This window comes from Homo sapiens, chromosome 21 (assembly GCF_000001405.40).
Source record: "Homo sapiens chromosome 21, GRCh38.p14 Primary Assembly".
Classification (NCBI taxonomy): Eukaryota; Metazoa; Chordata; class Mammalia; order Primates; family Hominidae; genus Homo; species Homo sapiens.
Genome location: NC_000021.9, coordinates 36,553,720 through 36,578,402, shown reverse-complemented (window position 1 = coordinate 36,578,402; position 24,683 = coordinate 36,553,720). Strand labels below are relative to the sequence as shown.

The following is a 24,683-nucleotide window of genomic DNA, read 5'->3' as shown; positions in this document are numbered from 1 at the left end:
TGGAGCCTCTCTCCACATGGTCTCTCATCCCCCAGGAAGCTAGCTTTCACTTGTTCCATGGTGTGTAAAGGATTCTTAGCTGCAGGAGAAGGCAAGCCCCAGTGCCTGCACCATTCAGATCCCTGCTTGTGTCACATTTTCTAATGTCTCATTGGCCAAAGTAAGTCATATGGTCAAGCCCAGATCAGATGGAGCATTAGCCCTGCCTTCTGATGGGAGGTCTGCCATGTCACATTGCAAGGGCATGGATGCAGGAAACAGGGGGCATTGGGGGCATTTATAATCAGTGAGTGAAGAGTGCTGTGCTAGGTACTTAACACCTCTTCTACTACTTGATTCTGCCAGTATTCCTAACCGCAATTTAATAATCAAAACAAAAACTCAGAGAGCATGTGGTGCTCATCCAAGACTACACAAGTAGTAAGTAACAGAGCTGAGACTCAAACCCTGGCTCAATAAAAACAGCAACAACAAATAACCCCAGCCCGCCCATCTCCAAGTCTGGTTTGCTTCCTGGTTCACCATGCTGAATTGCCCTGGTGCTTAGGACAGAGGCTGAGACACCAGAAGCCCCAGTACATATGATATTGTTGATTAAACTTGAATCAGAAGATAGACTTTGCCAGGGAAGAACAAACAATGAACAAGGGTGAGCACGGGGTGCTTTAGGTCCAGCTCTAGAATAATGTGGGCTCCTCCAGTGAGCAAGACAGCTAACCTGTCCATTCCCCAGGCCCCTGTGGGGAAATGGAGGCGGACAAGCTTAGAAAAATTACAGGGGCAGAAAACACACAGAGGGAAGACATTTCTTTTTCCTTCACCTTTCCTACACAACAAAACAGTTTCAGTCCTCCTCTTCAAGTTCCACTATCTCACTTTCTTTTTAAAGAATATTCTTGTCTTTCCTTGGACTTCCCCTTTGCTTAATAAGTCATTTCCTGTGTGTCTCTCTTTCTTTTTTTTCTTTTCTTTTTTTTTTTTAAGGCAAAGTCTCCCTCTGTCGCCAGGCTGGAGTGCAGTGGCATGATCTCGGCTCACTGGAACCTCCATCTCCCAGGCTCAATCAATTCTCCACCCTCAGCCTCTCTAGTAGCTGGGATTACAGGCGTGCACCACCACGCCCAGCTAATTTTTTGTATTTTCAGTAGGGATGGGGTTCGTCATGTTGGCCAGGCTGGTCTTGAACTCCTGACCTCAAGTGATCTGCCCGCCTCGGCCTCCCAAAGTGCAGGGATTACAGGCGTGAGCCACCACACCCACCATCTGTGTATATCTCTCTTGGCCGCCTGGGTGGATTCACCCATCATTCACCACTTCCCTGTTCTTTTCTGTCCAACTGGGGCGTGCAACTGGGGCCTCCACACTGACCCTCCTGCCATGCATGTCTCTTCCATGGGCCCCTCTTCAAGCCCTTGCTTTCCCTCTAGAGATTTTCCTGTCTCCTAATGCCACTCTCAGTCCGGGCTTTCTTCTGAATTTGAACACCAAGAGGCACCAGCAGTCGCCAGCAACAATGAGGCCTAAGAAAACCGGTCATTTGAGCTGGGCTAGACGTCAGTGAAACCATCTTGGTATTTGATTGGCCTTTTGTTGAGAGAATAGGGACTCTGTGAGTGGAGACCGAGAGAGACACTGGTCCCTTTTCAGAGTGGACAGAGTAGGAATGGCACGTACTGAGAGGGCAGTGTTGATAGCTGAAACTAGGTGTGCCACAGGCCTGGGATCTGGGGAAGGCCTGAGAGATATCTGATGCAGGCGCGGGCTGGGCACCCGCCGGGAGTCCAGGAAGGACGAGCACCCTGAGGCCCAGCTAAAGCAGGGGGTCTGATTGGTGGGGAGGGCAAGCTGGGAAAAGCTGAGAGAGGCAGGCAGCCCAGCCAGGCAGAAGTCACGAGCCAGGCACCTGCCAAGAGAGGGAGTAAGATGTTCAAGAGGAGCTCCGGAAGAACTTTCAGATATAGCACTGGACTTGGCTGAGGACACAGCAGCACGGTGAGTGGCACTCACAACTTGTAAATTACATCTCGGCTTAGTTTTATTTCAAGGCTTGAGTTTCTGCCAACCATGGAAGGTTAAATAATTAGAGCAGGCAGGTGAGTTAGGTGTAGGGTGGGCAAGGAGTTCAAGGAAAGAAAGAAAGATGGAAGTAAGGAAAGAGAGAGAAACTTCTATGTGTTGTAATGAGTAGATTGGGTGTCAATGATTAGTTCACCAGCTTGTTTTAAGTGACCCTGACTGCCTAGAATCTAGGCAGGTTTATATATCTGGGCTTGAGAGAATGTCAGCAAAACATACTTCTATTCTTACCTCACTTTGTTAAGAGGGGATGGTTGGTTGGTTTTTAATTACTGAGTACATGGAAATGGGATAATTTTGGGTTACACAGACTTTGCCTTCAAGTAGATTAATAGCAAGATCGATTTCCAAAGAAAAGATAAAATTCAATGCGTTTCTGGATGGTGCGAGGGTCTTCGGGAGTCACTGCAGAAATGTCGTTACAGTCTCCATTAACAAACTCTAAAGAGGTCGTATACAGGGTCTATGAGCTCATCTCCCTGGAAGGCGGGTGATGCTCTTATTTATGCCCCAAAAGCAAGAAGGCTTCTTCCTCTAGGTAGTTCAGTGAAACCAGGTATAAATCCAGAGGAATGACATCAACAGCTGCAATGTAATAAAATTCAACACCATAAGCTTCTATGAAATCAGAACTACATTTGTGAGTGCCTACTTATGCTGATAAACATTGTCCATGTTTCATGCGAGCACTGTACCTATTGCCAAGACTGTCTTCATTATCAGACACAGTGCACAGCAGTGGCACTTGCTTGTGGTTTTTTTTGTTCCCTTTGGCTAAAGCATTAGTGAGGTTGCATGACATTGCGACAAAGACATGGATTCTGAGATAAGCTATCTAGAGTCAAAACCCTAACCCTGACACATACTCGATAGAAGTTACTTCACCCTCCTGTGCCTCTGTTTCCTCATCTGTAAAATGGGAATAATGATGGTCCTACCTCTTAGGAGAATTGTGGAGATACAATTCAGCTAATATAAGTAAATGATATAGGATAGAACCTGGCATGTAGGAAGGGCTCAATTCATGTTATTAGCTATCATTTGCTGAGTATCACAGTTTGGCACCCCTAAGCCTCAGGGTAAGTTAGAGCCGATAGAACCAAGAGAGAAGCCAGGAGTAAACCAAGGGGTCCTGCACACTGCATGACGGCAGATGAGACAGCAAACAGCATGACCGGCGTTGGTAATCAGGATTCATTTGCAAAAGTAGAAACTTCAATTCCATAAAAAGAGAATAGAGGAGAATTCTTTAAGAAGATAATGCAGTGAGGTGGCTCTATCCATTTTTATTCTTAGGGAGAGACAAGTGTGTCTGTTTTTCAGTTTGATTTTTACTGCTAAATGCAATTTTGTTTCTTAAAATCATCTCTGCCAGTATCTAAAGATGCAGGGGACAGGGTGGGGTGGAGGGAAGGAAGCATTGGAAACTGGTTTGATAGCTTTAAGGACTTTCATGGCCTGGATCCTAGAGAAATGTAACAGGGATGTAAAATAATTCAATCAAAGCTTTGTCATTTAGGATAAATGGAAAAGATGGTTCTCTGTGGTGGGAAATTATTCTACCACATTTCCTCCTCTAAGGAATTTTTATTTCTTACTTAAAAAAATTAATTTAGGTATAAGTAACATAAATAAAATACACAGCTACCGGGGGTTCAGTTCAACAATCTTTCAGAATTGTATCTACTTTGGTAACCACCAATCAAAACAAGATATAAAACATTTTTGAACACACCAGAAAGTTCCCTTGAGCCCTTGATAGTCAATTTCCTCTCCCCCATCACTTTCTGATTTATGTAGATATTTATACATATAGATTAGTATTGTCTTATTTGAATTTTCTATGAATTGATCAAACTATGCCTTCTTCGGAGTTTGGCTTCTTTTGCTTACTGTGTTGTATTTGAGATTCATCTGTGTTGTTGGCTGTATCTGCAGTTTATAGTTTTTTATTTCTGTATAGTATTCCATTGTATGAATAAGGCATACCTAGTTCTAGCAAAATTTATTACAAAAACTTTCCTTTCTCCATTGAATTACTTTGACATCTTTGTGGAATATCAGTTGACTGTGTTTGTTGGTCTATTGAGCAACTCTTTAGTTAATTCAGTTGATTTGCATGTCCGTCTTTATGCCAGTACCCTACTATCTTGACTACTGTAGCTTTATCATATGTGAACTCATATTATTTAAGTCTTCCAAATCTGTGGGGTTTTTTCAAAATAATTTCAGATATTCTAGATCCTTCATGTTTCCATATATCATTTAGAATCAGCTCATTTATTTCTTTAAAAGAAACTTGCTGTAATTTATATATATATTGTATAGAACCAATGAATAAGTTTAAGACATCTTAACAATATTAAGTCTTCCAATCAATGAACATGGTATATCCCTTTATTTATTTAGGCCTCTTCCATTTTCCTCAGAAATGTCTTATAGTTTTTATGTAGATGTCTTATACATATTTTATTAGATTTATCCCTAGGTATTTGAAGTTTTAATGTCATTGTAAATGGTACTGATTTTTGAAATTTCACTTCAAAGTGTTTGTTACTGGCATATAGAAATATAACTGAGTTTTGTATAGTGACTTTGTATATTATAGCCTTGTTAAATCCACATAATTCTAGTGATAGTTTTGTAGATTCATAGATTTTTCTTGATATAAAATAAATAATTTAAGACTAATTAGATAGTAAATAAATTAAGAAACTGAAGTGTTGTAGTTTTCACCATGTATTAATAGGTCTTTGCTTCTAAAAGTTTTATAGTAGTGGTGTTGATAGTTTTGATGAGGATAATTTATAGAGAGAAAAGTTAATGAAATAAATATTTCATATCAATTGCAAAATTTCACAACCACCTGGTTAAGCTTCTACATAATACCCAGACTTAAATGGGCCCCAGAACTTTGTAACTACTTATAATTCACACCCTTTTCTATATACTTTTTGAGTTGCAGTAACTGTAGTCTTAATACCTAGTATTGTAATTTTCCCTCCAATTCTTTTTTTTTTTTTTTTGAGACAGAGTCTTGCTCTGTCACCCAGGCTGGAGTGCATTGGCATGATCTCTGCTCACTGCAAGCTCCGCCTCCCGGGTTCACACCATTCACCTGCCTCAGCCTCCCGAGTAGCTGGGACTACAGGCGCCCACCACCACGCCTGGCTAATTTTTTGTATTTTTAGTAGAGACGGAGTTTCACCATGTTAGCCAGGATGGTCTCGATCTCCTGACCTCGTGATCCACCTGCCTCGGCCTTCCAAAGTGCTGGGATTACAGGCGTGAGCCACCACGCCCGGCCTCCCCTCCAATTCTTACAGTGTATTTCCTATACGTACATAGAAGACACTGTTTTGAAATAACCCTGCGATTGTCATTTGGTAAATCACATTTTCAGTTTTGGCAGGGAGCAGGGAAGCGCAAGATTGGAAATAGTAATAGCTATTATTTAGGAGGCATCTACTATATACCAGGAACTGAGCTAAGCAATTTGCATGCACCATCTCATCAATAGACCTATTTTACAAACAAGGAAACTAAAGCTTAGTTTAAGTCACATGTCAGGTCCCAAAGTTAATAAGCAGTAGAGTCAAGGTTTAAATCAAAGTTTCAGACTCCAGAGCCCACAATTTTGACCAGGGTCTTCCAAAGCATCCGTTTAAAAAACAAATGTGATTTTCTACACCCTCTGATTATAGAAAAAGGAATTTAGCCAGAGTTCAAAATTCTTAGACTGATAAGAAATGATGCCAACTTCCATTTATTACCATGTAATGGGTTAAGGGATGGCAGTAAATCTTTCATGTCAGCTGGCTAAGTGTGGTGCTACAAAGACCAAGTTTTCCTCTTCAATCTTGGGCCAGCATGCAGACCTGGGTGGAGGGTAGAGGTTGGTGGCTGGAGAAACAGCCCCACACCTGGACTCCGCAGAGGGAAGGTCACCCAGAGCACCAAGCACAAAGGGTCACATTACTCTCATGACAGAAGGCTGCATGGTACACCCTTGGGGTCTTCCTGTTTGGGGAGCACGCGCAGTTCACACACACACACAACCCACACAAGCCCCCTGCACAGATTCAGGTTACGCCAGGGCTGGAATTACATAGCGACCCCTAAACAAAACAAACCAAACCAAACTACAGGCAGTAAAAGCCTTGGATAACAAGCCCAGAGAGCATCGGCACCAAAATTGCAAAAAGGTTCCCCTGTACGCTACAGATTACAGAATCATAAAGAACACACTTATAAAATAAAGCCTGTTGTGTTTCAGTGAGACTTTGAGTTGGCAATTCCGTTGCTAGATCTTATTTCACGGAGTGGGGAGGGAGTCCTTAAGAAACGGGCTTGCAATGACTCAGTTGAACTCTATCCTTTTTGGATTTTTCTTAGTTAAATCCACTGCCATGCTTTTAGTGATAATTTAAATTTTCTATACGCTGACCTTTACCTTTCATACCTTAGAAACGTAGGGGTTGGGGAAGTACTTTATAACCCCTGGTGACTTTCCAAGAAAATGTCACTTACCGGTACCAGCACTATCCTGGAATTTCCAGCCGAGAGAATGGAATTTGGCAGGGCTTGTCTCCATCAATCCGGGCACTTGGAGGTAACGGTATGTTCTTAGTTGCAAAAGGCGCTACGTTCCAAGAGCGTCCATCTTTTCAGTTTATGGGTGGGTTTGAAGTTCACTCCTTCACACGCACCACCCCCTTCATCTCACTGGAAACCTTCCAACTCTAAGAACTGCTCTGAAACCTGGGGTTTGCAACCTTAGATGTGAAGGTAAGAGTGTTTCTAAGCATTGAAGGGCACGTTCGCTTGGGATTTCGTAAGTCACTCTGAACACCACTGACCATGATGTGGACAAAGAATAGAAATAACAGCTAGCAAACCTCCACATGACATTGTATGAGCTCTGCATTACAAGAGAGGTAGGAGCAGGTTTTAAAAGCACCTTCATTGCACAACCTTACATACTGTTAACCACACATGACATAACTACTTTTATTAATGCACTGCAGCAGGGTGTTGGGAGGAATGTCCTATGCATTTCTGTGCTCTAACCGGCTTATTTTTCCAACTTCAGTTGTTTCTAATCTAAGCCAGTAATATCACAAAACCTCCAAGAACATTCAGCTTTCTACACAGTGTCATTAGAATGTTTGGTAAAAAGGAGATGCAGGCTGGGCACGGCGGCTCACGCCTGTAATCCCAGCACTTTCGGAGGCTGAGGCAGGCAGATCATGAGGTCAGGAGTTCGAGACCAGCCTGACCAACATGGTGAAACCCTGTCTCTACTAAAAATACAAAAATCAGCCGGGCGTGGTGGCGAGTGCCTGTAATCCCAGCTACTCAGGAGGCTGAGGCAGGAGAATTGCTGGAACCGGGGAGGCAGAGGTTGCAGTGAGCTAAGATCACGCCACTGCACTCCAGCCTGGGCAACAGAGCGAGACTCCATCTCAAAAAATTTTAAAAAGGGGATGTATTCTTTTAGAAGTTTTCATTTTAAAATATTCTTCTTACAGCATCCTCCTGTTTTTATTTTACATTGTAAAAAAATTTAAACACACAGAAGAGAAGAGCACATAGCATGAGAAACACTCATGTACTCACCAACCAGATTAAATAATTATTTGTAGTTTTCTATATTTATGCCAATCTATTGTTTGTTTTAATTTATTATATATGTCCATAATATATATATGTCCATAATTCTAAAAAATAAGAATACATTCATTTACAGCCATGCATTTTGTTTGCCGTCCTTGTTCCTCCCTGTACATTGGAAGTTAGATCTTAAGATTGACTTGTAAACCAAAAACGAAAGTTTAAGTACCCCTCAACCATCTGAATGGAACCCTCCTCTCAGGCAAGGGCATCCCAAAGTCAACCTAAAAAACTAGTTCAGGTCATGATGGGAAGAGGGAGTCGGACATGCCTCATCATACCCTCCTCCCTTTTGGAATTCAGGAAAAGCTGACCAGCATTAGCATCAACACAGACCTTAAGTCTGATAAGAAACTTTTTACAGTTGATTCCCTCTGAAGCCTGCTACCTGGAGACTTCATCTGCATGACAAACTTTGGTCTCCACAATCCCTTATCATCATAACCTAGACATTCTGTTCTATTGATTCCAGGTTTTTAAATAATAACTCTTTCATCCAATTGCCAATAAGGAAATTTTTAAATCTACCTATAACCTGAAAGCCATCCCCGGAGTTGTCCCACCTTTTGAGATCAAATCAGTGTACGTCTTACTGGTATTAATAGATGTCTCGTGTCTCCATAAAAAGTGTAAGAGCAAGCTGTACCCTGACCGCCGTGGGCACATGTCATCAGGACCTCCTGAGGCTCTGTCACAGGTGTGTCCTTAAACTTGACAAAATAAACTTTCTAAATGGATTGAGACCTGTCTCAGATACTTTTGCGTTCACAGATTAAATTCAGGTTAAACACTTTTTGCCAAGAAGCCTTCACTGCTGAAGTTGTACATTTTGTATTGTATCACATCAGTGCCAGGCTACCCACACTCAGTGATTCCAAGATTGATGCTTGGGTTGGGAGGCTGCCCATGGCTCTCTCTCCCTATTACAAAGGCATCTTCCCACCCTCATGACCAGCAGATGATTTGTGAGACAGGACCTTGGTTCTGCGGGTTATTAGGTTCTCCGTCAGCTCTTCCCTGAATACTTGTAACATCCGTTAATGATCCTGGACCGAATCAGTTAATTCATTCAAGGTTACAAAATGGTGGTTTTCTAATTTGATAATTCATTTGACATCTGTTAGTTAGCGATCATATTTTTTCAGAATGAAGAGTGTTCCCTCAAAGTCAAGCCTCTTTTGTAATGCTGATATATAGCCTAACACTTTCGCTTTATTTACTTAATTTTTTTTTTTTTTGAGACGGAGTCTCACTCTGTTGCCCAGGCTGGACTATAGTGGTGCGATTTCAGCTCACTGCAACCTTTGCCTCCCGGGTTCAAGCGATTCTTCTGCCTCAGCTTCCTGAGTAGCTGGAACTACAGACATGCACCACCATGCCTGGCTAATTTTTGTATTTTTAGTAGAGATGGGGTTTCACCATATTGGGCAGGCTGGTCTCGAACTCCTGACCTTGTGATCTGCCTGCCTCAGCCTCCCAAAGTGCTGGGATCACTGGCGTGAGCCACGCCCCCACCCCGAGACTATTTACTAATTTTTAGAGTAAGACATTGACTTCATTATCTGGGGGTTTTGAAATAAAATAATTCACTGTCCTTATATTGTAAATGCCATATTATTTGTAGTTTACTGGTGGAAATGGCTTTACCACACTCATGTAACTTTAGGGCTATAAGACAGCAGAGCATAGTAAATCCAGTAGAACCACTCAATTCAGAAATGAATAATAAAAAAGTCAAACTGGTTAATCAAATAAGTTGATGGGTTATTGGATTCAAAGGACAGTCAATGCCATACAAATGGCCTGTTCAGTGGCATCATACTGACAGCCCCAGTCTGAACTGTTAAAGGAATGAAAGGCATATGTGGCGTGTCTGTGAGAAGAGGAAAGAGGGTGTAGAAAAATGAATATTTCCCTTCTTTTTTTCTTGGGACAGGGTCTCACTCTGTGGCCCAGGCTGGAGTGCAGTGGCATGATCATGGCTCACTGTAGCTTCAACCTCCTGGGCTCAAGCGATCCTCCCACATCAGCCTCCCAAGTAACTGTGACTTCAGGCCTGAGCCATGGTGCCCAGCCTAGGCTTTTAACATCTTGCTTTGTCATCAGCCAAAAGCATGTTTGCAGTTACTTTGTCGGAACTGTCCCCCACTGCCCCATCCCCATGCCAGGGGCTCTAGGGAAAGACAGAGGGCTCCAGAGCAAAGACTGCCCATAGAAGATGCCGCACTGGTGGCATTTTTTTCCTAGCTGGGACTTCGTGCCTCCTTATTGCTCAGGGGTTGGCTGGGGCAATGCTGAAATCAGCATGACCTTGGCTCAAAAGCTCAGGTGGACCCTAAAGTGGGGCAAGGAAGGCTTTCTTGAAGGAAGTTCTGAGCAGGGCATCCCATGTAGGTCACACAGGTCAAGTAGAACCCTTTGTCCACCTTAGCAGCTCCGTTTCCACCACCCATGCTCCATCCAGCCCAGGTGACCTGCAATTCCTCGGTAAACCAAGTTTCTGCCTGGTCAAGCTGGCTTACCCCATCCACTCTGTAACCTCCCACTTGTCCTTTAATATTCAGCTCTAGGGCCCTCTCATCCCAGAGCGCTTCTCCGAACCATTCCCGGTTGCCTTTCTCTAGACCTCTTGCTCTTCCATAATTATTGATTTTCTTGTCTGTCTTCCCTACTAGACTGTGAGCTCATGAGAAAAGGAAACATCTTTATTTGTGAATCTCATATAGTAGGTTAAACGTCCACATAGTAGGTACTAAATAAATGGTACTAAATAAAAGCCCTTTGATTGAAACAAATGTATGAAAAAAAAAATGAATGACTTTGGCTTATCCTAGGAAATGCATTGATTTCCCTCCTTCCCCCTTCCATAAACTAAATGGCCAGGGTAATTTTGCTCAGACCCCTGGGATTTGAGGTGAATGGAGCCTGGACAGTTTCAAATGTTTTGCATATGAAGAACAGCCAAAGTGGATGTATATGGGTCTAGAGACGAGAGCAACCCAGGGCACTAAATGGAAACTGTTCTCAGTTTACAAAAATGCTTTCACCAAGAGCATTGTAATAAAGAGCTAGGTTATTAAAGCTCAATCAAATAAACAGACTCTTTCACCCCCAGCCCCCTAAATGAAAGTGGTCATGTAATCGTGCTGTAATTAAGGAAGGCCCCTGAGTTAAAGCCTTCAGAATATGTGAATAGACATAAATCAGCCAGTTCCCGTCTTGGAAGGCAGCATTCTTCAGCATCCATTAATCTGCGGTTGGCTCCCCTTGGAGCTCTTGGGCCCCTCTGGGCTTCTCTATCTCTTAATTGAAGCGATGTGCCTTGGAGATTTATTGCTATTCTACATCAACTTTCCCTTCCAAGGGCAGATTGCAAAACAAATACAGGAAAAAGAAACTGGATTCAATTTCTAGGCAAGAGCCTTCTCTGAGTTCATCTATGTGAATGTGCATGCCCTCAAAGCTCCAACGTGAGGCAGGGTAGGCTTCTGCCTCCAAGCCGCCTAATAGTTGGTGAGTCCTGAATGTCAGCCTGTCTTTTCTCGCTGACTTTGAGGTATTACGTACTTGATGCAATCCAGGGCCACAGATCAATTCACGATGGGATGAAGATATGCCCTGGAAAATGTAGCTCCAGCATCTTTCATGTTTGCCTTTTCCTTTTATCCCAAACTTGACACTCCCAGGAGCTTACGAGTTTGTAATCAGCCCAGTGGCCGCAAGCACCTCCTTCTTCCCGATGGCAGACGGATGTCTTCCGGCCTCCTCACCCATCAACGTGAGCCCCCTGATTTATGGTCCTGAACCCAGCAATCAGGGCCTGCTGAGGCTGAGCTCTCACCTGGCCTTTGGGGTGAATTTGGAGGGAAAGTGGGGCTAGAAGTGAATGGGCCACCTCATTTAGGTTTTGGAGATTTGGTTCTCTGTTTTGTCTTGATGTGCACATAAGAAAACGCTTTTGCACATGGCAGCCTGCTGGTGCCCACATTTGGAAGGGATCAAGCCAAGGCCATCTAAATCATTCCGAGGGAGCAGCTGCAAGAAGCATCTCATAAATTGTAAGAGCAAGCACTTGTGCAGAGGGGCTGCAGTGACCGTGAGGCCCCAGGGCCTCAACTCAGAGGACAGAGTCATTGCATGGGTCCAGTTCGACTGAGAAGTCACCAAAAAGAAAAAAAGCTTCTGTGAAAACCGGAAGGGAGAAGTGATCTAGTGATGCTGAGATTTGCATTCATAGGGCTGGGTGATATTTGACTAAGTCTCCTCCTAAGTCAGAGATCTAAGTTCTCAATTTTAAGAAGTCATATTTACTGGTTTCTATTTCTTTAACAAACTCTTACTGTTGACTGAGTGCTTTACAAATATTAATTCACTTAATCTTTCTAACAATCCTATAAAATATGCCTTGTTATCATCAAATTAGTGGTTATATTATTACATTCATATGCTATCTCCTATATGTGTGTTAAGATTCCTCCAACAAACTGGTTTAAGTATTTCATACTGAATTACTAACAGGTAGATCCTGGTATAGGCAGTGGTAGAAGTGGGATTTACTAACTTCCTTCTGTATGATAGATATAAAATTAGACATGCTAATATGATAAAAAATAAGACTGATGGCTTCAAGTTTCAATGGTTTTCAAACTAGACTTATGTCTGGAAACAAACTAGACTAAAAAATAACTGTAAAAAGGACAAAAGATTTATAGAAAGTACCATCTGGAGTTAAAACTGGCTCTGACCACTGGTTCCCAATGTCTGTAATCAACTTATGACAGCTTGTGACTCTGCTCCTTGGCTCTTCTGAATTTCCATGGATCTTGAGCAGCTGTGGCAAGGGGGATGAGAGAACTTTTTTATAGCACCAGCTGTAGAGCAAAGCACAACTGCTTTGGAAGACTCCACAGCACTATTTATGGTAGGGGCCAATTTGCTCTCAGGGTACTGGGCTTTCTGAAGGCTCAGGGGCATGGCACATAAACAGCCCTCTCCCCGATGTTCAGAGTTGGCTGGAGCCCACCCTGTGCAGACTGTGGACATCTCTTGCCAACTCCGCATTCAGCAACCTTAAGCTGGTAGCTTGACATTTGCCATGATGGAAATAGGCAAATGCTATATACAGCACTCTGCCACTTTTAGAACCAGTTTACCAGCACAACACCAGGAAAGGAAATCTTAAGCTTTATGAATCTTTCCAACAAGGCAGAGTTGCATATTTAAAAAAAAAAAGATTTGGGAAAAAGGGAAACCATAGTGCTGCAATACAATTGCAGGGTTGGTTCTGAAGGACCAATGGCTCTGGTGTTTGAGACAGCAATCTTTCAACAGAGCCAGGGAGAGAGGATGGTGACCTCATGCCCATTCTCACAGCAGCAGCAAGGGCTGGGCTGAGAGACAAACTGACCCCCTGCACCTCAAATTCACATGAGGGGTGCAGCCAACCTCTGTTCTCAACCTGACATGCCATGAGGTGAATGATTCTGAGGACAGCAAAATTTGTGCTTGTGTAACTTGTGTCAATCAGAGGAAAACATTGAGGAACTGTGTTAGCTTCCCGTGGCCGCTGTAACAAGTGACCACAACCAAGTGGCTTAAAACTACACAAATGTTATTATCCTACAGTTCTAGAGGTCAGAAATGAGGCTCACTGGGTTGTGATCAAGGTATTGGCAGGGCTATGTTCCTTTCTGGAGGCCCTGGGGGAATCAACTTGCTTGTCTTTTCCAGCTTCTAAAGGCCACCTGCATTCCTTGGCTTGTGGCCCCTTTCTCCACCTTCAAAGTGAGCAACAGGTGGTCAAGTCTTTCTCACTCACATCACACTGGCTCTGACTTTCTGCCTCTCTCCTTCACATTTAAGAACCCTTGGTACTACATTGGGCTCACCTGATAATCTCCTTATTCTGAAGTCACCTGGTTAGCAACCTTAATTCCCTCTGCAACCTTCACTGCCCTTGCATGTAACATAACATACTCATGGGTTCTGGAGATGAGGGCATGGGCGTCTTTGGTGGGAAATTATTTTACAACCACAGCCATACACATCACCTGAGGTCTCTGGTGAAACGCCCTGGAATTGACTCTAGAATTACATCTAGGAGGTTGCTCACCAAAGAGACTCAATCCCAGCCCCTTCTCTCAGTGTCAGCCAAGGCTGTCCTCCAGGGGCGAAACCACACCTGTTCTAGATACTGGAAATGGGTTTTACTGGTGGTTCTGTCATCTTAAGGATCCAAATCAGAGGTGTTAATGGAAGGCAACTCCATCCCAACTCTTCACACTTTTCATCCCTAATTGATGGCTTTTGTTGGCTTAGCGATAGCTGGTAGTTTTCTCTGGTGCCTACACCCTTGCACATAAATTTAAGTAGGGCACCTGGTGATTACACCTAAGTTAGGAAAACAGGCATCCTTCTTGACACATATTCTTGACACATGCCAGATTTCTATGGAAAATTTATATAACACTGCAAGAAAAGGCTAATTTTGCTGACAAACACTGAGCCGAGCTCCTGGTTTGATGTCAGGTTTAGCTCTCAGGGAGCCACATTTGCCACCTGCCTCATCTTCGGCATTTCTCAGAACTCCACAGAACGAGGGTGCAGCCCAGGACTGGGGAGTAGGGCGGCCAGATTTAAGGCATGTGAACTTTCAGGTCATCGAATACACTTTCCCATTAGGGAAGGGGCACGTTTCCTTAAGAGTTTGGGGGATCAGAACTGAATCCACGTCTGTCTTTTTGATAACATAATTCAAATATGGCGTAATGGCGCCTGGGGGAGAGGGAGTGAATTTGAGGATTATTAGTTTCACTGCTCTGGAATAGGTCCCAGAGGAGACCACGCAGAGACCTTGCCCAACAAATTGCTGGACCTCTTTTTGCTGAGCCCTGTCTGCCAAAAGGCTCCACGTGTCTTTCGCATCTCCACTATCCCCACCATGAGGTCTCTTCCCACAGTCTCCGAACCTCCATGGGAGCCAACATTTTCTAATAATCGTTTCCTACATAAAATCAACAAGGGGAAAAATTCCTCTTTAAGCACATGTCTAGATGATTCCATTTCTCTTTGACAGAGAATTATCAGTGACGGCCCTATGGCTCATAAGACTGTAAGGATTGTAAACCTCTGATTAATGGAGTAAGACAGATTGTTGTTATTCACGGAATTCAATATCCTAACCTCAGACCCATGTTTACAGCACATTGACTTGCAACTTTGAAAAAAGCCCTGCTTTTTTTTTTTCTCCAACATGTTTAGTTATTAACAGAGAGCGCTACGGTAAGGAAACCAGGCCAACATATCCAGTTGGGTAGCCTAAACCAGAATATGCACTGTATGTAGTGATTTAGGATTTAAAACCCCAATAATGCACGGAGATGCTATGACTCCAATCTTTTTCCCATATTACCTGCAACTTGTTCTAGATGAAACCCTTCAAAGCCCTCCGTGATTAACTTTTCAAAACAGTGTCATGCATTTTCTTGTTCTCTAAGCAGCAGAGAATGTAGCCCATGCATCTCAGGCTGCTATCATTAATTTTTTTCCTTTCCTTCTTTTACTTTTAAGTTAGTGATTAAAACACAGAGGTCTTCATGAAATATGACTCCCCTGAAGAATGATAACATTTCATTCTGCATTTTTGCAGCACCCAAGTTCATGTTTAGATGAAGGTGACCACTTTCATTTCCATCATCTTGTTATGGCTTCGAAATCATGCCATATTATTATTTGCCCCATTTTGCAGAGGAGCCAGATGAAGAACAGAATGAATAACTTACCCCAAATTACCCATGAAGCCAGGGTTATTAGAATTCCCAGGCCAGTGGGCTCACCACAAAACTACACCGCTTGACTGTGCTGAGAACCAGCCAAGTCTCCATCCCAGATGATCACTGCCTATTCCCCAGGCGGGAAAGAGGCCAGATGTAATTTGCTCATGAAAAAAAAAAAAAAGCACAGAATGGATAGGGGATCCTTTGAATATTTTAAAGATAAGGGTGAACGCATTTCTTTAGAGATTATTAAAAATTAATTTTTAAAGCAAAACTGATGGGAAAATCATAAACACAAGATGACACATGGGTTGGAAGCGATCAACTCTGGAGACTTGGTGGGGCTTTTCCTTAGAGAAGAAAATAGGTCCTTTTCCTCAGGAATATTTCAGAAGAGGTCTTGTTATGGTTTAAGAGCCAGAAAATGGGAATAAGCTTAGTACTTAGCTGAAGAATGAGCTGGGTGCAGAATTACAAAGTGGATGTCCCATGTGTTTCCTGTTTCCTCTTGGTGCCCATCTCTTGGCTGTAGCCTACTTCCTGCCCTTGGGTCCCTCCTGGTGACTCAAATCTGCCAAAGAGGGTCTGAGATGCAGGCTCATGAAGCCCCATAGAAAGCCATACCCTGCCAGATTTCCCACCCTCTTTCAACAGTACCCATCCTAGTCCTCTTCTTCAGGGTATCTGTTTCCCTGTGTGACAATGGTGCTGATGGATTAATCAGAGACATTACCCCTATGAATACACATTAGCTAGAGGATCTATCATCCCTCAGAGATGATTGTAATAATAGCCTTCTTTGCTGCATTTTCATGCACCAAGGATCTTAGGAATATTGCAGAAGGAATGCAGAGAAAAGGAAAAATTCATTTTCAACTTCTGTTATGCAAAACAGGATTTTTTTGCAGCAAAACAAGAGTCTTGAAAGTCAAGTCTTTTTGAGAGAAAGGGTTCCTTCAATCTTTGTCTATCCCACTGGCATACCAAGAGCCAGGCTTGAAGGACCAAACCATAGAGGTTTGTATCCAGAAAAAAAGGAGGGAGTAGTGCCTGCTCCTTCCAGCCCTAGAAGACTGTGGGACATAAGTAGTCTACAGAAGGAGGAGTCAGCCATGAGATGTGTGGGTCTTAATACACCTCTCCTGGCTGAGACTCAGGGAGAGGGAGGTGCATTTGCTACATTGAAGTGAGTAGAGAAGACAGAGGGTTCACATCATGCTTTCTACTGGGGCAACATTACTTTGCTGGATGGTTCCTCACCAACACAGAGGACCTCTGAGAAACCAAGAGAGTGGAAGAGCTGCGTGTGGCAGAGAGGGTCTAGTGGCTCTAAACTGTGGCCACTAGATAGCTAAGCTGAGGGGCAGCGGGGCAGCCAAGTGGCCCACTATGGCGGGAACCAAGTGACCTGTGTCTGATGGTGTCCAGAGGCAGATGGAGGCTGTGGCAGAATCCCAAAGGGTTTCCTGTCCTCCCCCAAGTCAAGAGAGGTAGCCCGTTGGTCCTAACAGGTCAAGAAAAAATTTCCCTTGGTTCCATCAGCCATGGACATCATGTGGCTGCCCACCCCAGTGGGGAACAGCCAGCACCACCCACAGACCTGCAACAAGACCAGGTCTCTTCTCCCTGTCCCTGAGCATGGAAACTCTCCTCTTTCCTCCACAGGCCCAGACACTGCTTAACCGATAGGTCTAGTTAAGCCCTTGGAGTCTGTTTAAACCACTCAGAGTGGGTCTGAGGATTGCGACACATCCACAAACTGTTGCCGGCATGGGATGAAAAAGGTACAAAAATTGAGGGTAGGTGTTGAGAAGTTCTTGTAGCAGAATAATTTCATGCTTATTGAAACCAATCATAAAAAATATAAGATTATGTTTTGTATGCTTTTAGAACTTTTATTTCCCAGTAATTCATTTCTCTTGGATTTTATGAAAGTATCTGCAACTGGTTAGAAATTAAAAACAAACAACAACAAAAAAGAATTTCTTACCACAGATACTTTGAGATGCACTGTGTTATGGATGGGACTAGGCTTATAATACACTTTTTTCTCTTCTAGTGGATAGGGACTTGTTAAGGAAGATCAGATCCATTTTGGAAAAAATAAAGAGCAACATTTTCTGCACATCTGAATTGTAGTAACAACAAATATTTTCACATTTTCTATGCCCACTATTAGAGAGTTTTCAACTAAAAAATTACTCAGAAACAAGGAAGAATTAAAAAGGATCATACACCATGACTAAGTGACACCATCACTACCCATTTACCAAAGACAAGTGAAGTATATCCTTGGGAAATCCAGGACGGTTCAACATGCAAAAATCTATTCATGTAAAATAGCACATTCACAGAATAAAAGATAAAAATCACATGATATGCACTTATCTCAGATATTTGCACCTCCGATCCGCCCCCATCTCTCGAAAGTTAGAACACTGCCAACTAATCTGTTATATAGGTCCTTTAGAAACACATAATTCACACTTAAGGTTGGATGCCACTAATTCTTTGCAAAAATCCAAATATAGTTAAGGGACCAGGAAGATGCCACTACCCCTTGATTTTTCATCTAAAAATATAGATATTTATGTAAACAAATCTTTCCATATTCATAGCGACAAGAGCGAAAATCTGTCTCAAAAAAAAAAAAAACCTCTCAACAAACTAGGAATAGAAAGAAATGACTAACGTAAAATGTGTATAAGTATTTGAGCCTAAAGATTTTGATCTCACATTTTTATACCTGTTTAAATTGTTCACAATTATTACATACACATCAGCCATCAACTAAAGTTGTACTTTAAAAATTTGCTACACTATGTACATTTCTAAGTCAAACACTTGTGACTTTTGCTTTAATTCCATGAACGTTCCTGCCTCCTTGATATTTGTATTTATTCTTTTTTTCTCTAGAGTGGAGGTATAATGGTATGATATTTCAGAAATGAAATACAGATAAATGATTCAAAAAGTCACCATTAAGGAGAATAATGTTCCTTTGATCATGAAAAACTGATTAGTAATTATTGCCTATATTTTCCTGATAGCATATGACAAATGTTTCTAGGGTAACAAGATGAGAACAGATTAAAGATTGTGTGGTGTTTTGGATTTGGAGAGAAATATTTTAGTTTTTAAATGCAGTTACAAATTATAATGTATTCATATTTGTACTTTCTGTTAAAATGCACAATTGCAGAATTGTTTAGATTTTATGTTTATCCTTGATGAAAAGCTTTGTTTGTTCTTGTTTTTAAGTTTGCACTCAAATCTTAAGAAATGAATTCATCCATGTTATCAAAAAAAATCACATGATAATCTCAATAGGTGCAGAAAGGACAGTTGACAGGTTTTTGTAACCCTCATGATAAAAACTCTCAGCCAGCCTGGGTGGCTCAGGCCTGTAATCCCAGCACTTTGTGGGGCCAAGGTGGGCGGGTCACCTGAGGTCAGGAGTTCAAGACCAACCTGGCCAACATGGCGAAACCCCGTCTCTACTAAAAATACAAAAATTAGCTGGGCGTGGTGGCGGGTGCCTATAATCCCAGCTACCTGGGAGGCTGAGGCAGGAGAATCACTTGAACCCAGGAGGCGGAGGTTACAGTGAGCTGAAATCATTGCACTCCAGCCTGGGCGACAAGAGCGAAACTTAGTCTCAAACTAAAAAATAAAATAAAATAAAATAAAATAAAATAAAATAAAACTCTCAACAAACTAGGAATAGGAAAAAATGACCTAAACATAAAGGCCATATATGAAAAGCTTACAGCTAACATACTCAACAGTAAAAAACTGAAAGCTTTTCTTCTAAGATAAGGAACAAGGTAAGGATGCCCATTCTCACCACTTCTATTCAACACAGTACAGGAAGTCCTTGTAAGAGCAGTAAGGCAAAGATTTTTAAAGTCATTTAAATTTTTGTTAAGTATACTCCCTTGGCACAAATCTTTAAAATATATAAACATTACATATAAATAAAATGTCTTCATGGCATCAAAATATAACTCCAGACAAGGACAAGCATCTAAATTGAAAAGAAAGAAGTAAAATTATCTGTTTGCAGATGACATGATCTCATATGTAGAAAACCCTCACAATTCCACAAAAAAAAAACCCCACCTTGTTAGAAGTAATAAATGAATTCAGTAAAGGCACAGGATACAAAATCAACATCAAAAATGAGTTGCAATTTATACACCAACAGTAAACTATCTGAAAAGGAAATTTAAAAATAATTTCCTTTATAATAGCACCAAAAAAATAAAAAACAGGAATAATAGGCTGCTCTGCCTACAGAGTAGCCATTCTTTATTCCTTTCCTGTCTTTATAAACTGGCTTTCACACACACACAAAGGAATAAACTTAACTAAGGAAGTAAAAGTCTTGTATGCTGAAAACTACAAAATATTGATGAAATAAATTGGAGAAGACACAAATAAATAGAAAAGTATCCCATGTTCATGGATTAGAAGACTTAATATTGTTTAAAAAGATTCATACTACCCAAAGCAATTTACAAGTTCATTGTAATCTCTATCAAAATTCCAATGGCATTTTTCAAAGAAACAGAAAAAAAATCCTAAAATTCATATGAAACCAGAAAGGACCCCAAATTACCAAAACAATCTTAAGAAAGGACAAAGCTGGAGGCATCACATGTTCTAATTTAAAAATATATTACAATCTACAGTAAATAAAACAGTATGGTGCTGGCATAAAGGCAGACATATAGGCCAAAGGAACAGGAACAGAATAAAGAACCCAGAAATAAACCCACAGATATACAATCAACTGATTTTTGACAAGGGTGACAGTAATACCGGTACACCAGAGAAAGGACAGTCTCTTCAACAAATGGTGCTGGGAAAACTACATATCCACAAGCAAAAGAATGAAATTGGACCATTATCTTGAACCATACACACAAATCAACTCAAAATAGATTAAAGATTAACCTAAGACCTGAAACCTCTAGAGGAAAGCATTAAGGAAAAACTTCATGACATTGGTCTTGGCAATGATTTTTTGGATATGACAACCAAAGTGTAAGCCACAAAAGCAAAAATAGGCAAATGGGATTACATCAAACTAAAAAATCTTCTGCATAGCCAAGGAAAACAACCCACAGAGTAAAAAGATAACGTAGAGAATGGGAGGAAATATTTGCAAATAATGTATCTGATGGGGGTAATCTCCAAAATATATAAGAGAACTCTTTCAACCCAATAGCAGAAAACCAAATAACCCAATTTAGGAATTGAGCAAAAGACCTGAGTAGATATTTCTGTAAAGAAGATTTACAAATGGCCAACAGGTATTTGAAAAGATGGTCAACGTCACTAATCATCAAGGAAATGCGAATCAAAACCACAATGAGATATTACCTCACATCTACTAGGATGGCATTTTTTTTTTAAGATAAGAGTTGGCAAGGATGTGGAGAAGTTGGAACGCTTGTTCACTCTTGGTGGAAATGTAAAATGTTTTAGCAACTATGGAAAACAGCATGGAGTTTCCTCAAAAAAGTTAAAATAGAATTATCATGTTTTCCAGCAATCCCACATGTGAATATTATTTATCCAAAATAATGCAATCAGGATCTTAAACAGATATTATCATTCTCATGTTCATTACAGCATTATTCACAATAATCAAGATGTGCCAACAACCTAAAATGTCCACTGACAGATGAATGGATAAAGACAATGTATATACATACAATGGAATATTATTCAGCCCTAAAAAAGTAAGAAATTCTACAATATGAGACAACATAGATAAATTTGGAGGCCATTATGCTAAATAAAGTAAGCCAGTCACAGAAAGGCAAATACTGTTTGAGCCCACCTATATGAGGAGCAAAAATAGTGAAACTCACAGAAGCAGAGAGTAGATGGTGGTTGTCAGGAACTAGAGGGAGGGAGAAATGGGCAGTTGCTTTTCACCTGGTATGAAGTTACAATTATGCAAGATGATTAAGTTCTAGAGATGCTGTACAATTTTGTGCCTATAATTAACAGTGCTGTACTGCACGCTCATACAATTTAAGAGGCTGGATCTCATGTTAAATATTCTTACCACCAAAAGATAGAGAGAGAGAAGAGAATCCACCAAAATCAGGGACCATCAACAAACAACAGGAAATGCAATTCCATTGGTTGAGACTTTTCAAGAAGACAGCTGTGGACACGGAGAATTCACGGGAGCTGGTACCTTTTATTTCCAAGATGCTGTTCTAAGTGTTTTTATATCGGTCATCCTGGCTGATGTTACCAGCCTCCCACTGAGGATGCATTGTTTTCTTCGTAGAGGAAAGAAGCGACATAGTCAGGGAGTTAGAAAATTTGCCAAAACTCATACACAAGGCAGAGGCAGAGCCAGACCTCCACCCCAAACCTGTTGGACTCAAAAGCTGTGGTCTTCCTACCACCCCCATAAAGAGATCCCAAAAAAGGGCTTTGGTGGAGTGGACTATAGGGTCCAAGCACAAAAAGGTCCAGGGCCACCATGGGCAGCACTCCACCTGATTCTTCATCCATCGCTGTGTAGGCTTCTGACTTAGGTCACCTCTGGCCCTGGGTGAATCTGCTATAATTAGAAGACATTCCCACCTCTAATATAAGCCAGTTTAACTAGAAAGTACTGGAGGACACACTGATCAATTGAGGACCCAAGAGAAGCAAATGGCAAGTCCCTAAGTCCCTTTGCTCTACAAACTGCAAACTGGAAGAAGAAAGGGTCCCCGAGGTGAGCTGTGGGGCAGCTCTCAGCACCAGGCAGTGAAGTGCTGAAATTAGTCACCGACCACCAATAGCTTGGGCCCCTGAGTGAAACACTGTGACTGGGAGCTGATGTTTGCAGGAGTGATATCTTTGGGGATAAAACTGATATGTGGGATGGGAAATGATCAAAGTGAGAATTCTTAAAATTCCTTATTCTAGAGAAGTGCGGCCAAAATCAGATTCACTGTGCAAAAAGTGTCCCTATGCTGTGCGTGCACACACACACACACTCTCTCTCTCTCACACACACACACACACACACACACACACACACACACACACACACTGACCTATAGAAAATCGGGAGTAGAAAATTGGGAGATGCCTGGCTGTGTGTGTTCACATTTGCAGTCTCAGGAGCTTCTGGTAAAGCTAAAAATGGAGGGTGGGACCTAGACATCTTTGGGCAATGTCCCACATACCACCTGACCAGCCTTAGGAACGAGAAAACGTCTGGAGCCCATGGGGTCATAATGAGCTGGCTTTCAAGGCAGCCTGGAAAAATTCCTCACCAACTCCACATCCATCCATCACCCCAGCAAAGCCCCGTGGGCTCCTGCACTCTTTGGTTTTACAAAACATTGGAAACATTTGAACGTTGAGAAAACTTACGACCTTGGAACACGCTGCCTGTTTTCTTACAACTTAATGAGACTAAATCGTTGATAAGTCCTGTTTTGAAGCATAACAGCGCACCCCGTGCAGGGCACGGGAGCCGAACCACCTTCTCCACAGGACAATTCCCGTGCTGAGTACGGGTCACCCAGACCCAAGACCTCCTCTTTTGGCTTGTGTTTTCCAGGGATTTCTGGCAAAACCAAGGCGGTTTTAGCCTGCTATATCTTGGCAATTCGCTTGAAACCCCTCCTCATGCACTCCAAATACTAGAAAAGCAACACTCAGAGTGAAGCATGGTTATAGGCATTCTAGAACAGCAAGCCTCTTCAAAGCCTCTGAGTTAGACGGAGTTATAGGTATCCATTCACTCGTTCATTTGACAAATCCCTGCGGATGGCTTGCCATGTGCCAGGCCTCTGGTTAGCCCAGGGGCATTTCAGGAATGCCAGGGAGGCTGGGGCTGGCTGTTGCTCTCAGGGGACCCTGCAGTGTGTTGAAGATGCTCAATGATTGAGGAAGCAATTCTATAAATATGGAAGAATTTGGGGAATGGCATGTGTCAGGGGAGCTTTTAGAATTGGAGGGTCATGGGGAGACCATCAGACTTTGCAGACCCTTCCCAGGCCTGTCAGTGCTGCAGAGGCAGGGGCGGGAGGTAATCAGTACTTACCAAGTGCCTCCTTGATGATAACACATCCCGTGGCATCCTCCTCTGCCCTCAGGGAACTTTAACTATCAACGGGTGGTGGGGCGGTAAGACATCTATAGGCCTGTACTGCTGGCAACCCTTCAATCTAGTGGCTCAAAAATCAGAATGCCGACTCTGACCTCAGAATCCTAGCTGTGTGACTCTGGGCAAGCTTCTTAACCTCTCTGTGCCTTGCCTTCCCCATATGTAAAACGGCAGTAATTATAGTATCCATCTTGCACGAATGTTGTGGGGAATAAGTGAATGAAACACTCCCAACAAGGCGGGCCTGACCCGACTAAGCTTCTCTTGTGTGGCCGTTTATCTCCTGTGATGGCTGTTACGCACCTGCCTCTGCTTTCCTCACGGGGCACCTGTAACCCTGTGTTGTGGTTGTACCTGGACAAGCCCTTCTTTTGAGACTGGGTCTGTGTTCCTGGAGCGCCAGGGACCAGGCCTGCAGCAGGAAACAATCAAAGTTCCTTGAAGGAATGAATGAGCAGGAGCTGCTTCCTTGTGGGAATTACTGCAGGAGGCACCGCCGAGCCCAGGGCCTGGGGGGGTTGGGATGCTGTCTCATGAAAGGGCCATATATCCAAAGTGGCCTCCAAATGTCAAAACAGCAGAGAAACCAGAGAACAAGGCAGACACATCCAGTTTGTCAGTAAAGGGTGGCTTACTGGGGAACTTACAGACAGAGGCATGGACTTGGGCAGGGGCAAGGCACGTAGATGTCCCACTGTTACCCCCAGACCCGGGCTTATATACCATAGGGAAAGGGGGTACATGCTCTCTAGAGACAATTGAAGGCCACCTCCAGGACTGTCGAGGACGCTATATTCGCCATAGCCAATGATATGCACGATGACATCAACATTCTCAGGGCGGTGGCTAAACAGAGTCAACATGGCGATTAGCATCCAAGATGGAGTCACTTTTGTCTCCACAGATGGAATGATGTGGGCCGGCCATGCCTCATCCCTCATCTCACACACAGTTGTCCTCACCATAAAGGGGAGTAAGAATATCTTCTTGGCAGGTGCTGCTGACTGTAGCAGGTCCTGCTG

At 42.5% G+C, this 24,683-nt stretch overlaps 1 protein-coding gene across 1 annotated transcript in view; it reads left to right on the top strand.

Moving 5' to 3' along the window:
* Positions 1,834–24,683, top strand: part of CLDN14 (claudin 14) — a 115,949-nt gene continuing 93,099 nt past the window's right edge. Inside the window, exon 1 of the mRNA NM_001146077.2 lies at positions 1,834–1,992. The gene's annotated coding sequence lies outside the window, so the exon portion shown is untranslated. The remainder of the gene's footprint in view (positions 1,993–24,683) is intronic.